Source organism: Homo sapiens, chromosome 8 (assembly GCF_000001405.40).
Source record: "Homo sapiens chromosome 8, GRCh38.p14 Primary Assembly".
NCBI classification, from domain to species: domain Eukaryota; kingdom Metazoa; phylum Chordata; class Mammalia; order Primates; family Hominidae; genus Homo; species Homo sapiens.
Genome location: NC_000008.11, coordinates 73,917,743 through 73,933,825, shown reverse-complemented (window position 1 = coordinate 73,933,825; position 16,083 = coordinate 73,917,743).

The following is a 16,083-nucleotide window of genomic DNA, read 5'->3' as shown; positions in this document are numbered from 1 at the left end:
ATCCCAGCTACTTGGAGGCTGAGGTGGGAGGATTGCTTGAGCGCAGCAGGCAGAGGTTGCAGTGAGCAGAGATTGTGCCACTGCACTCCAGCCTCCAGCCTGGGCGACAGAGCAAGACCCTGTCTCAAAAAAATAATAATAACATAAATAAATAAAACAGGATGGGGTTGGGGGAGGGAGAGCATCAGGAAGAATAGCTAATGGATGCTGGGCTTAGTAACTAGGTATTGGGATGATCTGTGCAGCAAACCACCATGGCACATATTTACCTGTGTGCACATCCTGCACATGTACCCCTGAACTTAAAAGTTTAAAAAAAAAAAAAAGATAATCATCCTCCCCAAAACTAAACTGCCCTCATGAAACTAATAAAAGGCCACCAAGTTAGGTGAATGAGAGTAGCCTGAATTCAGCCATTATTCTAGAGGTCATAGATTTGCAACTTCCCCAATTACTCCTGTAGATAACATCACCATTGTAGAAATGAAGATTGGCCTTTGGAGATGTCTTTTCAGGCTTTTGCATTTCTAACAACCGGATGGCCCCATCTGGACCTGTGACTCCACTGGTCCTGTGGCTTCCACCCAGAAGCAGACTCAGTGCATGAGGACCATTTTTCACACCCCTATGATTGCATCCCCAACCAATCAGTAGCACCCATACACTAGCCAGCTGCCCATCAAACTGTTTTTGAAAAACCTCTAACCTTTGAGCCTTCAGCGAGGTTGATTTGAGTAATAACTCCATCTCCCAAGTGGTGTGGCTGATCTTGCTTCAATTAAACTCTTATTTAATGAAAAAAAGAAAAAAACCCAGGATGGAAAATGTGAAGAATTAACTTTCATAATTTATAGCCTGAGAAGTGAAATGGTTGCTTTTCATGGTACTGGATGGATTAAAGAAAGAGTATAACCTTAAATCTCTGAGTCTCTTTGCCAGGCACAGTCAGAATCTTCCTAGGAAATTTCTAGTACTCTTCTTCAGCCACAGACAACTTTCTGATAATTGAAAAAGCAAACTTGAAGTTTAATCAAATAAGAAACTGAATTAAAGTGTCAGTTGAGTTGATACTTGCCATGTAAAATATGGCACATTGATGGAGAAAAGAGTGGGAACCTCAAAAGTTAAACAGGATTCATTTTCCCAACCCAATGACTCTCCTCAACGACTAAATCTGCTGCCATCTTCTTGGAGTGAAGAAGCAGGAACACCCTTACCTGGAGTTACCTGCAGGGTGAGCTCATTACCCTGCAGGGAGAGCCCCAGCTACTTAGCGGGCTAAGGTGGGAGAATCACTAAGGTGAGGTTGAGGCTGAAGTGAGCCATTATTGCACCACTACACTCCAGCCTGGGTGACAGAGTGAGACCCTGTCTCAAAAAAGTAAATAATTTTTTAAAATTTAATAATTGGCCGGGCGAGGTGGCTCACGCCTGTAAGCCCAGCACTTTGGGAGGCCAGGGCAGGTGGATCACCGGAGGTCAGGAGTCCGAGACCAGCCTGGCCAACATGGTGAAACCCTGTCTCTACTAAAAATACAAAAATTAGCTGGGTGTGGTGGTGCAACCCTGTAATCCCCGCTACTCAGGAGGCTGAGATAGGACAATCACTTGAACCCGGGAGGCGGAGGTTGCAGTGAGCAGAGATCGTGCCACTGCACTCCAGCCAGGAAAACAGAGCAAGACTCTACCTCAAAAAAAAAAAAAAATTTAATAATTGCCAAGACATTCAGTTGCTCCTCTGTGGGGGTATGGCTGGCGCATTATTTATTACACAAGAATCATTACATTATTTTAGGCAGTAGCCTTTTTTTTTTTTTCCAGAAGTGCAAGTCTACAAGGGGTAAACTGTATTTGATATAGGAGGGAAATTTTGCTATCAGGCAGCTGAATGCTCTTTTATTTATTTATTTATTTATTTTGAGACAGGATCTCACTCTCACCCAGGCTGGAGTGCAGTGGCTCAATCATGACTCACTGCAGCCTTGACCTCCCAGGCTCAAGTGATCCTCCCACCTCAGCTTCTCGAGTAGCTGGCACTTGTGTGGCACCTACCACCACGCCTGGCTAATTTTTGTATTTTTTGTAGAGATGGGGTCTCACCATGCTGCCCAAATTTGGTCTCGAACTCCTGGCTTCAAGCAGTCTGACTGCCTCAGCCTCCCAAAGCGCTGGGATTACAATCTTAAGCCCCCATTTGCAGCCATTTCTGGCATTTTTTGCTCAGCGTTGTTTGTGAGATTCATCTCTGTGGCATTTAGAAATAGTTTTTTTGCACTGCTGTGAAGTATTTCATTGTGTGTGTGTGTGCGTGTGCATGTGTGTGACACAAGTTTATCAATTCTACTGTTGATAGACATTTAGGTTGTTTCCAGTTTTGAGCTGTTATGCATAAAGCTACTGTGAACATTTTTGTACATGACGTTTGGTGCTCAAATTATATGCATTTTGTGTAAATACTCAGAAATATCCAGAAGTAAAATTGCTGATTCATAGGGAATGCATATGTTCAGCCTTTTTTTTTTTTTTTTTTTTTTTTTTGGCAGGGTCTCCTGTCTCCCAGGCTGGAATGCAGTGCTGTGATCTCGGCTCCCTTCAACCTCCGCCTCCTGGGCTCAAGCAATTCTCCCACCTCAACCTCCCAAGTAGCTGGGAACACAGGTGCACACCACCACAGCTGGCTAACTTTTGTATTTTTTGTAGAGATGGGGCATCTCACTATGTTGCCCAGGCTGGTCTCAAACTCCTGGGCTCAAGCAATCCACTGGCCTCAGCCTCCCAAAGTGCTGGGATTACAGGCATGAGCCACCACACCAGACTGTTTTCCTGGTTTTCCGTTGGGTTGCCTGTCTCTTTCTCATTGGTTTGTAGGACTTCTTTATATATATACTTTTTGTTTTACTATATGTATTAAAATATATTCTATCAGTCTGTGGTTTGGCTTTCACTCTGTTAATGTTGAATTTTTGTGAACAAAAGTTCTTAATTATAAGATCATTTAGATTATTTTTTTCTAGGCCTGGCATGGTGGCTCATGCCTATAATCCCAGCAATTTGGAAGGTCAAGACAGGCAGATCACTGAAGGTCAGGAGTTTGAGACCAGCCTGACCAACCTGGTGAAAACCCATCTCTACTAAAAATGCAAAAATTAGCCGGTCATGGTGATGGCGTGCCTGTAATCTCAACTGCGCGGGAGGCCGAGGCAGGAGAATCGCTTGAACCTGGGAGGCAGAGGTTGCAGTGAGTGAGGTGGGGCCACTGAACTCCAGCCTGGATGACAGAGTGAGACTCCATGTCAAAAAATAATAATAAAAATAAATAAATAAATAATTTTTTTAGGCTGGGCATGGTGGCTCACGCCTGTAATCTTAGCACTATGGGAGGCTGAGGCGGCAGATCACCTGAGGTCAGGAGTTCAAGACCAGCCTGACCAACATGAAGAAATGCCATCTCTACTAAAAAAATACAAAATTAGCTGGGTGCGGTGATGCATCCCTGTAATCCCAGCTACTTGGGAGGCTGAGGCAGGAGAATCACTTGAACCCAGAAGGTCGAGGTTGCAGTGAGCCAAGATCACACCACTGTACTTCAGCCTGGGCAACAAGAGCAAAACTCCGTCTCAAGAAATACAAATAAATAAAAATAAATAAATTTTTTTCTTTCTGTTGAGTGCTTTGTTTGTTCTGTTTAAGAAATCTTTGTTTACCTGAAGGTCACAGAGCTATTCTCTTACGTTTTCTTCTAGAAAGTGTAGTTTTCCCTTTCACATTTAGAATTACAATCCATTTAGAATTAATGTTTCTATATGGTATTAGAGGTTGGCTAAGATTTATTTTCTTTGATATTAATATCCAGTCGACCCAGTATCATTGACTGAAAAGGCCATTCTTTCCCTGCTGTACTGCAGAGGTGCCTTAGGTTACTGTGTATGTGTAGGGCTCAAACTGGACTCCTTCAATTCTCATGAACTAGGGAACTGAGGCCCCTGCATCCTGTAGCAGCCCGTTTCTATCATTCCTTATTATTTCTTTCAGAATTATCTTGTTGGAGCAGATATGAAGGTGAAGTACTGGGATTGCTCCCTTGATTTGGGTTTTTTTTTTCTTTTCTTTCTTTCCTTTTTTTTTTTTTTTTTTTTTGAGACGAGTCTCTCTCTCTAGCCCAGGCTGGAGTGCAGTGGTGCGATCTCAGCTCACTGCAAACTCCGCCTCCCAGGTTCAAGCAATTCTCCTGCCTCAGCCTTTCGAGCAGCTGGGATTACAGGCGCCCACCACCACGCCTGGCTAATTTTTGTATTTTTAGTAGAGATGAGGTTTCACCATGTTGGTCAGCCTGGTCTCGATCTCCTGACCTCATGATCCACCCACCTCAGCCTCCCAAAGTGCTGGGATTACAGCTGTGAGCCACCACGCCTAGCCCAGGTTAAAATCTTCAATTAAATACCCCTACTGTAATACTGTAGGATATTTTTTTATCAGGCAGAAAATGATGGAAAATTTAGCATTCATTTATTTCCCAATTATTTATTTTTGGGTAGCTCAGGTTATTTAATATGTATTATTTTTTTTTTTCCTGAGACAGAGTCTTGCTCTGTCGCCCAGAGCTGGAGTGCAATGGCGCAATCTTAGCTCACTGCAACCTCCACCTCCCGGGTTCAAGCAATTCTCCTGCCTCAGCCTCCCAAGTAGCTGGGATTACAGGCACGTACCACCACGCCCAGCTAATTTTGTATTTTTAGTAGATACAGGGTTTCACCATGCTGGCTAGACTGGTCTTGAACTCCTGACCTCTGGTAATCTGCCTGCCTCGGCCTCCCAAAGTGCTGGGATTACAGGCATAAGCCACCACGCCTGGCCAACATGTGTTAATTCTATGTTCCTTTTTGTAGTTAAGAAAACTTTCTATTTAAAAAACTGTACTCTGAGACCACTCTGTGCTAGGTGCCCTTATACATATTATGTCATGTAATCATAAACTAGAAGGTATTTAACAATTCTCCTACCCCACCCTCCTTTGTTGAGACAGGGTCTTACTCTTTTGTGCAGGCTGGAGTGGCATGATAATAGCTCACTGTAGCCTCGAACTCTTGGGTTCAGGCAATCATCTTTCCTCAGCCTCCTGAGTAGCTCGGACTACAGGCACGTGCCACCACACCCAGATAACTATTCCCATGTTTTGCTGTTGAGGAAACACACTCAGAAATTAAATGACTTGGCCAAGGTCACACAGCAGGTAAATTAGTGGTACAGCCAATATTCAATCATGTCTTTTTCTCTAAATCACACAGCCCCATGGATATGCAATCTGTAGGTTCAACTTAGTTAAAGAGAGTAAATATTTATCAACTTGGCTGTGTACAAGTCTCTGTGCTAGGATTTATGGGAAATAAAAATGTCTAGTGTGCCACAATCTGTAAGAGAAACAGGCAAATGCAACTATGCAATGATATAGACACACATAATTGTAATTACTTATGATCTAAGGCTAATAGCAATACATGCTAAAATTGATGTACAAATAAAAGCAAATGAGAAGACCAGGCACAGTGGCTCACGCCTGTAATCCCTGCACTTTGGGAGGCCAAGGCAGGCAGATCACATGAAGTCAGGAGTTGGAGAGCAGCCTGGCCAACATAGTGAAACCCCGTCTCTACTAAAAATTAAAAAATGCCAGGTGAGGTGGCTCACACCTGTAATCTCAGCACTTTGGGAGGCCAAGGCGGGTGGATTACCTAAGGTCAGGAGTTCAGGACCAGCCCGGCCAACATGGCAAAACCTCATCTTTACTAAAAAATACAAAGATTAGCCGGGCATGGTGGTGGGTGCCTGTAGTCCCAGCTACTCAGGAGGCTGAGACAGGAGAATTGCTTGAGCCCGGGAGGCGGAGGTTGCAATGAGCGGAGATTGCACCATTGCACTCCAGCCTGGGCAACAAGAGTGAAACTCCGTCTAAAAAAAAAAAAAATATATATATATATATATGTGTGTGTATATATATATATACATATATATATATACACACACACACACATATATATATATATATACATATATATATATATATACACACACACAAATTAGTCGGCATGGTGGTGCACGCTTGTAATCCCAGCTACTTGGGAGACTATGGCAGGAGGATCACTTGAAACCAGGAGGTGGATGGAGGTTGCAGTGAGCCAAGATCACACCACTGCCTCCAGCCTAGGCAACAGCGAGACTCTGTCTCAAAGATGATGTTTTTTCTTTTTTTAGTTGGTTATAAAAGGGCTCTGAAACTAAATTCCATGAGCTTTTGCTTAGAGGGTTTTAAATTTGGGGTCACATTATTCTTTCTTTGGAGAATTTCTTTTAGATACTGGTTAACCGTTTTCTAGTAATACAATGGAGAATTTCTTTCTTTTTCTTTTTCTTTTTTTTTTTTTTTTTTTTTTTGAGTCAGTGTCTCACTCTGTCACCTAGGCTGGAGTGCAGTGGCATAATCTTGGCTCACTGCAGCCTCTTTCTTCCAGGCTCAAGCAATTCTCTTGCCTTAGCCTCCCGAGTAGCTGGGACTACAGGCATGCGCCACCACGTCCAGCTAATTTTGTGTTTTTAGTGGAGATGGGGTTTCGCCATGTTGGCCAGGCTGGTCTAGAACTCCTGACCTCATGTGATCTGCCCGCCTCAGCGCCCCAAAGTGCTGGGATTACAGGCGTGAGCCACTGAACCCAGCTACAGTGGAGAATTCTGATGCCAGACTGATTTGTTCTTGATTTTTTTTAAGTCAGTATCTATAGGAGTTTTCACTTATATTTAAATTTTGTTATTTGCATTAGGATAAGTTTCTGAGCTGATTGATCAGTATTATCCTAACAAAAAATGTTATTAAATTACTTTTTTTTTTTGAGACAGACACTCCCTCTGTCGCTTCTGAGCTGAATGATCAGTATTACCCTAACAAACAATTTTATTAAATTACTTTTTTTTTTTTTTTTGGAGACAGAGTCTCGCTCTGTTGCCCAGGCTGGAGTGCAGTGGCATGATCTTGGGTCACTGCAATCTCCCCCTCCCAGGTTCAAGCAATTCTCCTGCCTCAGCCTCCCAAGTAGCTGGGATTATAGGCGCCGCCACCACGCCTGGCTAATTTTGTATTTTTAGTAGAGACGGGCTTTCACCATGTTGGCCACGATGGTCTCGAACTCCTGACCTCAGGTAATCCTCCCGCTTCGGCCTTCCAAAGTGCTGAGATTAGAGGCGTGAGCCACCTTGCCAGGCCTAAATTACATTTCTTAATCTTTTCTCCCAATTTTTTATTATAAAAATTTTCATACCTTGAAAAAAGTTAAAAGAACAGTACAATGAATACTCTTCACTTACGTGTGTCAGTTAACATTTTGTCACATTTGCTGTATGTCTGTCTTTATATATACATATATGTGTCTGTTATGTATATATGTATCTATATTATTCTATCATTCAAGTTTTTCCAAAAAAACAGAGCCAAGAGACTGTATCTGTATCAATATCTATCATCTATCTGTATCTCTATATAGAAATAATTCTCTCTCTCAATCTGCATATATGTTTTAAGGAATTGGCTCATGCAATGTGGGGGCTGGCAAGTCTGAAATCTGGTGGGTAGGGTGGCAAGCTGGCAACTCAGGAAGGAGTTGATGCTGCAATCTTAAGGGAGATTATTCTCCAGGAAAAACCTGTTTTTGCTCTTAAAGCCTTCAACTGATTGAATGAGGCCTCACACACATTACTGAAGGTAAATTTTATGAAGGTCAACAGATTATACGTGTTAACTAGGTTTACAAAATACCTTCACAGCATCACCTAAATTAGTGTTTGATTGAATGTTAGGTACTATAGCCTGGAAGAATATACATTTGAAATTAACTATCAGGCCAGGTACAGTGGCTCACGCTGGTAATCCCAGCACTTTGGAAAGCCAAAGCAGACGGATTGCTTGAGCCCAGGAGTTTCAGATCAGCCTTGGCAACATGGTGAAACCCCGTCTCTACTAAAAATACAAAAATTAACTCAGTATGGTGGCATGTGCCTGTAGTCCCAGCTTCTTGGGAGGCTAAAGTTGGAGAATCACTCAAGCCTGGGAGGTCAAGGCTGCAGTGAGCAGTGATCGAGACACCACACTCTAACCTAGGCAACAGAGTTAGACCTTGTTTCAAAAAAAAAAAAAGGCAAGAAATTAACCATCAAAATTATCTATAGAGGCCGGGCGCGGTGGCTCACGCCTATAATACAAATTTCGTGAACACATGCACAAATATATGTATTTATATTATATACAATGAGAGATGGAGAAATACATAGAGAAATATATATATATATTTTTTTTGAGATAAGTCTTGCTCTTGTCCCCCAGGCGGGAGTGCAATGGCGTGATCTCAGCTCACTGCAACCTCCGCCTCCCGGGTTCAAGCGATTCTCCTGCCTCAGCCTCCCAAGTAGCTGGGATTACAGGCTCCTGCCACCACGCCTGGCTAATTTTTGTATTTTTAGTAGAGACGGGGTTTCACCATGTTGGCCAGGCTGCTCTCGAACTCCTGACCTCAGGTGATCCACCCGTCTCGGCCTCCCAAAGTGCTGGGATTACAGGCGTGAGCCACTGTGCCCGGCAATCCATTACCATTATTATTGCTTTGAATATCCAAAGCGTCTCAATATGGCCAATGGGAATCCCTTGAAGAGGGATCATGGGTCCTTTTAATATGTCCTCGTCATTTTGTGATCAATTTCCTACTTTCTGGCACAGAAACTATCAAGTAGTTTCTCCTGAGGGTAGGCCCTGTTAAAAAAGAACAGAATTGACTGGGCGTGGTGGCTCACGTGTGTAAGCCACGCAAGACTCTGTCTTCCCTACCCCCCCAAAAAAAGAAAAAAAATAATGGCTATTTGTTCAAGCTTACTTTCATGTCTTTCAGGAATGTTTTAACATTTTCCTCATATAGGTTTTCACATTTCTCATTAAGTATATGTTCAAGTATTTTTTCTTTTTGTTGCTGTGTACATGCATCTTTCTTTCATTATATCATTTGACTAGTTTTTTTCAATATTTTATACTGCAGTTAATGCACATAACACAAAATTTACCATCTTAACTATTTTTAATTGTATAGTTCTGTGGTATTAAGTACATTCATATTGTGCAACCATCACCACCCTGTATCTCCAGAGCTCTTTAAATCTTGCAAAACTGAAACAATATTCCCATTAAACGATAACTCTCTATTTCCCACTCCACCTAGCCCCTGAAAACCATCATTCTACTTTTTGTCTTAATTTATGATTTTTACGATTCTAAGTACTTTATTTAAGTGTAGTCACAGTAAGTCGTCTGTCACTTAATGACAAGGATACATTCTGGGATATGTATAGTTAGGCAATTTGTTGTGTGAATATCATAGAGTGTACTTACACAAACCTAGATGGTCTAGCCTACTATACACCTAGGTTATATTGTACAGCCTATTGCGCCTAGGCTGCAAACCTATATAGCATGTTACTGTACTGAATACTGTAGGCAATTATAACACAATAGTAGGTGTCTGTGTATCTGAATCTATCTAACCATAGAAAAGGTGCAGTGCAAATGTGCTATAAAAGATTAAAAAAAAAAATTGGCTGGGCACGGTGGCTCACGCCTGTAATCCTAGAACTTTGGGAGGCCAAGGCGGGTGGACACCTGAGGTCAGGAGTTCGAGACAAGCCTGGCCAACATGATGAAACCCCGTCTCTACTAAAAAAATACAAAAAATTAGCCGGGCGTGATGGTGGGCACCTATAATCCCAGCTACTAGGGAGGCTGAGTCAGGAGAATCGCTTGAACCTGGCAGACGGAGGTTGTAGTGAGCCCAGACTGCGCCATTGCACTCCAGCCTGAGTGACAAGAGTGAAACTCTGTCTCAAAAAACAAACAAACAAAAACCAGGGCTTGGTGCGGTGTCTCACACCTGTCATCTCAGCATTTTGAGGGCCCAAGGTCAGAGGATTGCTTGAGCCCAGGTGTTTGAGACCAGCCTGGGCAACAGAGCGAAACTCTACAAACAAACAAACAAAAAATTTACAAGAAAAAAATAAAATGAAATGAAAGACTGCAGCTTAAAAAAAAAAAAAAAAGATGGCCTGGCACAGTAGCTCATGCCTGTAATCCCAGCACTTTGGGAGGCTGAGGCCGGCGGAGCACTTGAGGTCAGGAGTTTGAGACCAGCCTTGCCAACATAGAGAAACCCCGTTTCTACTAAAAATACAAAAATTAGCCAGGCATGGTGGTGCACGCCTGTAGTCCCAGCTACTCGGGAGGCTGAGGCACGAGAATCACTTGAACCTGGGAGGAGAAGTTTGCAGTGAGCCAAGATTGTGCCACTGCCCTGCAGCCTGGGCGACAGAGCAAGACTCTGGCTCAAAGAAAAAGAAGAAGGAATCAGCAATTCTTGGAATCAGTGTGTAGTACTCACTTGAGCTCTTTGAGCTCCCTGCTTCCATAGCTCACCTTTTCCGCCCTGGTGAATCTTCTCCCAGGCCAAATCTTCCTTTTTTAGTAGAGGCACTTTGACTTCATTCCGGATTTGTTTTGGATATAAGGCAGCCTTAATATAAAACCTTAAATTTCTCCTAGGATGATTAAAGACTTTTTCTGTTTTCTGGCAAATCCATTCTGATATAAAGACAAAAGTTGGCTGGGCACAGTGGCGCAAGCCTGTAATCCCAGCACTTTGGGAGGCCGAGGCAGGTGGATCACTTGAGGTCAGGAGTTCGAGACCAGCCTGGCCAACATGGTGAAACCCCATCTCTACTAAAAATACAAAAATTAGCCAGGTGTAATGGTGCATGCCTCTAATCCCAGCTACACAGAAGGCTGAGGCAGGAGAATCGCCTAAGCCCAGGAGGCAGAGATTGCAGTGAGCCAAGATGACACCACTGTGCTTTAGCCTGGGTGACAGAGTGAGACTCTGTCTCAAACAAACAAACAAACAAAACAAAACAAAAAACAGACAAAAGTTCTTCTTATCTGAATACTCTGTTTACAGAATTTACATTCTGTCTCTGACACATGTCTTTTCTGGTAAATTTATTTTTGTTTCTACCTGCACATCTGATTTAATATTTTGATCTGCATGCCTGGGTTAAATTTTTTGTGAGCACTCTGATTTTGGTTTCATTTTGGTTTATGTGTGCCTCTAAATTATTTGTTTCTTTTTCCTTCCTTGTTTCTAATAATCTCCCAAGAGCAAAAACAAACATTCTCAATGGTGGGTGCAGTATGGCTAATTAAAAATGACTAGGATGATTGCCACCATCTAAAACATTGGTCCAACTTCTGACATTCTCTAAAAGGATTTATAGGATTTTCTTTGCTCTTGAGAACTTATAAGAAATAGGATGGGATTTTCAAACATTAAGGCATACTAGGTTTTCTGAGACTCCAGCTTGCTATATTGCAGCTCATTCTCATGCACATTTTAAAACTGATGGGTAGGCCAGGCATGGTAATCCCAGCACTTTGGGAGGCTGAGGTGGGTGGATCACGAGGTCAGGAGTTCAAGACCAGCCTGACCAACATGGTGAAGCCCCGTCTCTCCTAAAAAAAAAAAAAAAAAAAAAAAAATACAAAAATTAGCCAGGCATGGTGGCACGCACCTATAATCCTAGCTACTCAGGAGGCCGAGGCAGGAGAATCACTTGAACCCGGGAGGCAGAGGTTGCAGTGAGCCATGATGGCGCCACTGCACTCCAGCCTGGGTGACAGAGCGAGACTCTGTCTCAAAAACAAACAAACAAAACAAACAAACAAACAAAAAACAAAAACTGATGGGTAAATTACATCAGTGAAAATTCAGAGCTCATATGATCATTATTTGAATACGCTAAAGAAAGTCCTGCAACTATAGAGTTGGGCCTTCAAAGTTCTCTGTCTCTTTATTTCTTTATTTTTTTTCTGCCTACTTTGAATCAGCTGACTCTTCCTCAGGTGTTGAGGTGAAACTCACTGCTTATGGCATTCTAGCCAAGATTTTTTTTTTCTTTTTTTTTTTTTGAGACAGAGTCTTGCTCAGTCTCCCAGGCTGGAGTGCAGTGGCACAATCTTGGCTCAGTGCAACCTCCCCCTCCCGGGTTCAAGTGATTCTCCCACCTCAGCTTCCCACGTAGCTGGAATTACAGGCATGTGCCACCATGCCTGGCTAATTTTTGTATTTTTAGTAGAGATGGGGTTTCACCATGTTGCCCAGGCTGGTATTATACTCCTGACCTCAAGAGACCTGCCTGCCTTGGCCTCCCAAAGTGCTGGGATTACAGACGTGAGCCACTGTGCCTGGCCACATTTTTTTTTTTTTTTGGAGATGTAGTCTCACTCTGTAACTCAGGCTGGAGTGCAGTGGCATGATCATGGCTCACTGCAGCCTTACCTCCCAGGCTCAAGCAATCCTCTCACCTCAGCTCCCAAGTAGCCAGGACTACAGGTATGTGCTACCACACCCAGCTAATTTCTGGTTTTTGGTTTTTGTTTGGTTTGGTGGAGTGGCATCTCCCCCATGTTGCCCAGGCTGGTCTTGAACTCCAGGGCTCAAGCAATCCATTCACCTTGTCTTCCCAAAGTGTTGGAATTACAGACATGAGCCACCATGCCTGGCTTAAAAGTCTTAAAGTGCTTTGAAATTAATGGCTTTATAAATTACAACAACTCCATGACAACCAACAACCAGGAGACTGTTTGAAAATGTAAAAGTAGGTTTGCCTGACTAACAATTGCTTAGGGTAATAGAACAGTTAATTGAAGGATTGATATCCTAAAAAAAAAAAAAAGAACTAGATAATAAATATTTATAAAAGTTAGAATCTTAGATTAAACAGATTGAAATCTTGAGTTCAGAGCAATAATAATAAATCTCTGTCCAGCATAAACATTGTTTTGTCTGCCACACAGAGGCTAAAACAAGCAAAAGCCAATGGAAAAAAACTGCTAAAATGTTTCCCTGCCTGCATTGACTAGTCAAGCAAGCCAGACCAGTAAACAAAAGAAAGATTTGTTACGAATTCAAGGCCACTTGGAGATTTTGTATTTCTTACACAATTCAGCCAGTTTCAACTAAAATGTAAACATTTAAATATTTAACCCTAAACTCATTTGAAACTGTTAAAAGAGTAAAAAGTGTTTGTTTTTAATTGAAACTTCTATGGGAACTGTTTTGCCCAAAATTTTGGTTCACAGCCTTCATTAGGTTACCTTTCAGGTCAAATAAAAACTGAGCCATGTGAACAGGTCCCATTTTGTCAAAAAGTAATTTGGATCCAACTGTCTTTTTTGAACTCATGTTTGTTTTACTATCTTATGACTAAAATTCTAAAACGAAAGCTATCAGAGCCTTGTGTGTGTATATGTGTTTAGGTATGTTTATGTACATGCATATGTATTATGTTATATGTTGTGTTTACATGGTAAAATATGGCATTATCAAAGTTCCCTTAAGAAATTCTATTCAGATTGGCTTAGATAAATGAGCATTCAAGTAACATATATAATAATTAACTCAATGCCTTTTAATTAATGTGACAAGTAAATTTTGACAAAGAAGCTGATTTTAAATTTGGTAGTAGAATAAAAATAAAAATATCTTCGGAATTTTCAGTATACATTTTTGCCTGGATTTACTGGTCAGACAGTTTTATATTTGTTCCCACTAGATGTTTTAACTGTAAGGGCTTGTCACAAAAGTTATCAAACTATAAATTAAACCTAAAAACAGAATAGTCTTGTGCAATATTGTTGGTATAATGAAAATAACTGTATCAGGCTGGGCGTGGTGGCTCACACCTATAATCCTAGCACTTTGGGAGGCCGAGGCGGGCGGATCACCTGAGGTTGGGAGTTCGAGACCAGCCTGACCAACATGGAGGCAACCCATCTCTACTAAAAATACAAAATTAGCTGGGCATGATGGTGCATTCCGGTAATCCCAGCTACTCGGGAGGCTGAGGCAGGAGAATCACTTGAACCCGGGAGGAGGAGGTTGCAGTGAGCCGAGATCATGCCATTGCACGCCAGTGTAGGCAATAAGGGCAAAACTCCGCCTCAAAAAAAGAAAAGAAAAGAACTGTAACTTCTGAGTTGTAGGCAAAATACCTATATATTTAAATTTAAGGTTCTTAGGTGAACACCTGATGGTCACACTCTATAAAAATGGTTAACAGGGAAACAACTTGAAAAGATGACTAGTTTTATCTAATATATCAGTTTTCCTAACTAATCTAGGTATAATTGTTATAACAATTACAAATAGATTAATTAGGTAAATGTATATGAGATAAATGTTAATAAATTAAGTTTCCATGTAACTTGAAATCTTAATGTTATGTTAAATTAAGTGATAGGTACTCATAAATATCCAGATCATTTCCAAGTTTTGGGGCTCAAGCAATCCTCCTACTTAGCCTCCTGAGTAGCTGGGACTAACGCATGTGCCACCATGCCTGGCTAATTTTTTAAATTTTTTGTAAAGATGGGGTCTCATTTTGTTATCCAGGCTGGTCTTAAACTCCTGGCTTTAAGCAATCCTCCCACCTTGTCCTCCCACAGTGCTGGGATTATAGGAATGAGCCATTATGCCCAGCTGGGAAACATGTTTCTAAAATTATGAAATGGTAGCTTACGCCTGTAATCCCAGTGCTTTGGGAGGCTGAGGTGGGCAGATCACCTGGGTCAGGAGTTCGAGATTAGCCTGGCCAACATAGTGACACCCCATCTCTACTAAAAATACAAAAAAAAAAAAAAATTAGCTAGGCATGGTGGCGCATGCTTGTAATCCCAGCTATTTGGGAGGCTGAGACAGGAGAATCGCTTGAACCTGGGAGGCAGAGGCTGCAGTGAGCTGAGATCACACCACTGAACTTCAGCCTGGGTGGCAAGAGCAAAACTCTGTCTCAAATAAATAAATACATAAATAAAAATAAAAATTATGAAATGGTTCTCATCTATGAAATACTGATATGTGACAGTTCAAAATCTCTTGCTAGAAAAAAAAAACAGATAGCTGGCATGGTGGCAGGCACCTGTTATCTCAGCTACTTGGGAGGCTGAGGCAGGACAATTGCTTGAACCCAGGAGGCGGAGGTTGCAGTGAGCTAAGATCATGCCACTGCACTCCAGCCTGGGTGACAGTGAGACTCCGTCTTAAAAAAAAAAAAAAGTTATTGCTAGAAACTGAGGTTACTAAGAATTAAAAATTCATATATGTATAAATGTGTGTGTATTATAGATATAGATAGATAGATATAATTCTGTATATAAAACATACCAAAAAAAATTAGATTTTTTTTTTTTAGTCAAAGTCTCTTTCTGTCACCCAGGCTGGAGTACAGTGGCACGATCTTGGCTCACTGCAACCTCCACCTCTCAGGTTCAAATGATTCTCCTGCCTCAGCTTCCTGAATAGCTGGGACTACAGGTGCCTGCCACCATGCCTGGCTAATTTTGTATTTTTAGTAGACACAGGGTTTCATCACATTGGCCAGGCTGGTCTTGAACTCCTGACCTCTAGCAATCCGCCTGCCTCAGCCTCCTAAAGTGGGATTACAGGCGTGAGCCACTGCACCTGACCAGATGTGTTTTTAATTATAAAACTTATAAGAAAGGCATTAAAAACTGTGTTTTTTGTTGTTGTTGTTGTTGTTGTTGTTGTTGTTGTTGTTTCTTGAGATGAACTCTAGCTTTGTTGCCCAGACTGGAGTAGAGTCGTGTGATCACAGCTCACTGCAACTTCTGCCTCCTAGGTCCAGGCGCTTCTCCTGCCTCAGCCTCCTGAGTAGCTGGGATTACAGGCACCTGCCACCATGCCTAGCTAGTTTTTGTATTTTTTGTACAGACAGGGTTTTGCTATGTTGGCCAGGCTGATCTGGAACTCCTGATCTCAAGTGATCCACCTGCCTTGGCCTCCCAAAGTGCTGGGATTACAGGCATGAGCCACCACACCCAGCCAAAACTGTGTTCTTTATTGAGAAAACTAAAACTCTTTTCAAATCAGAGTTTATTTAAAAGTTGTTTCAAAATATGTGCTTAGGAAAGGAATAGAAAGAAGATAGAAAGAA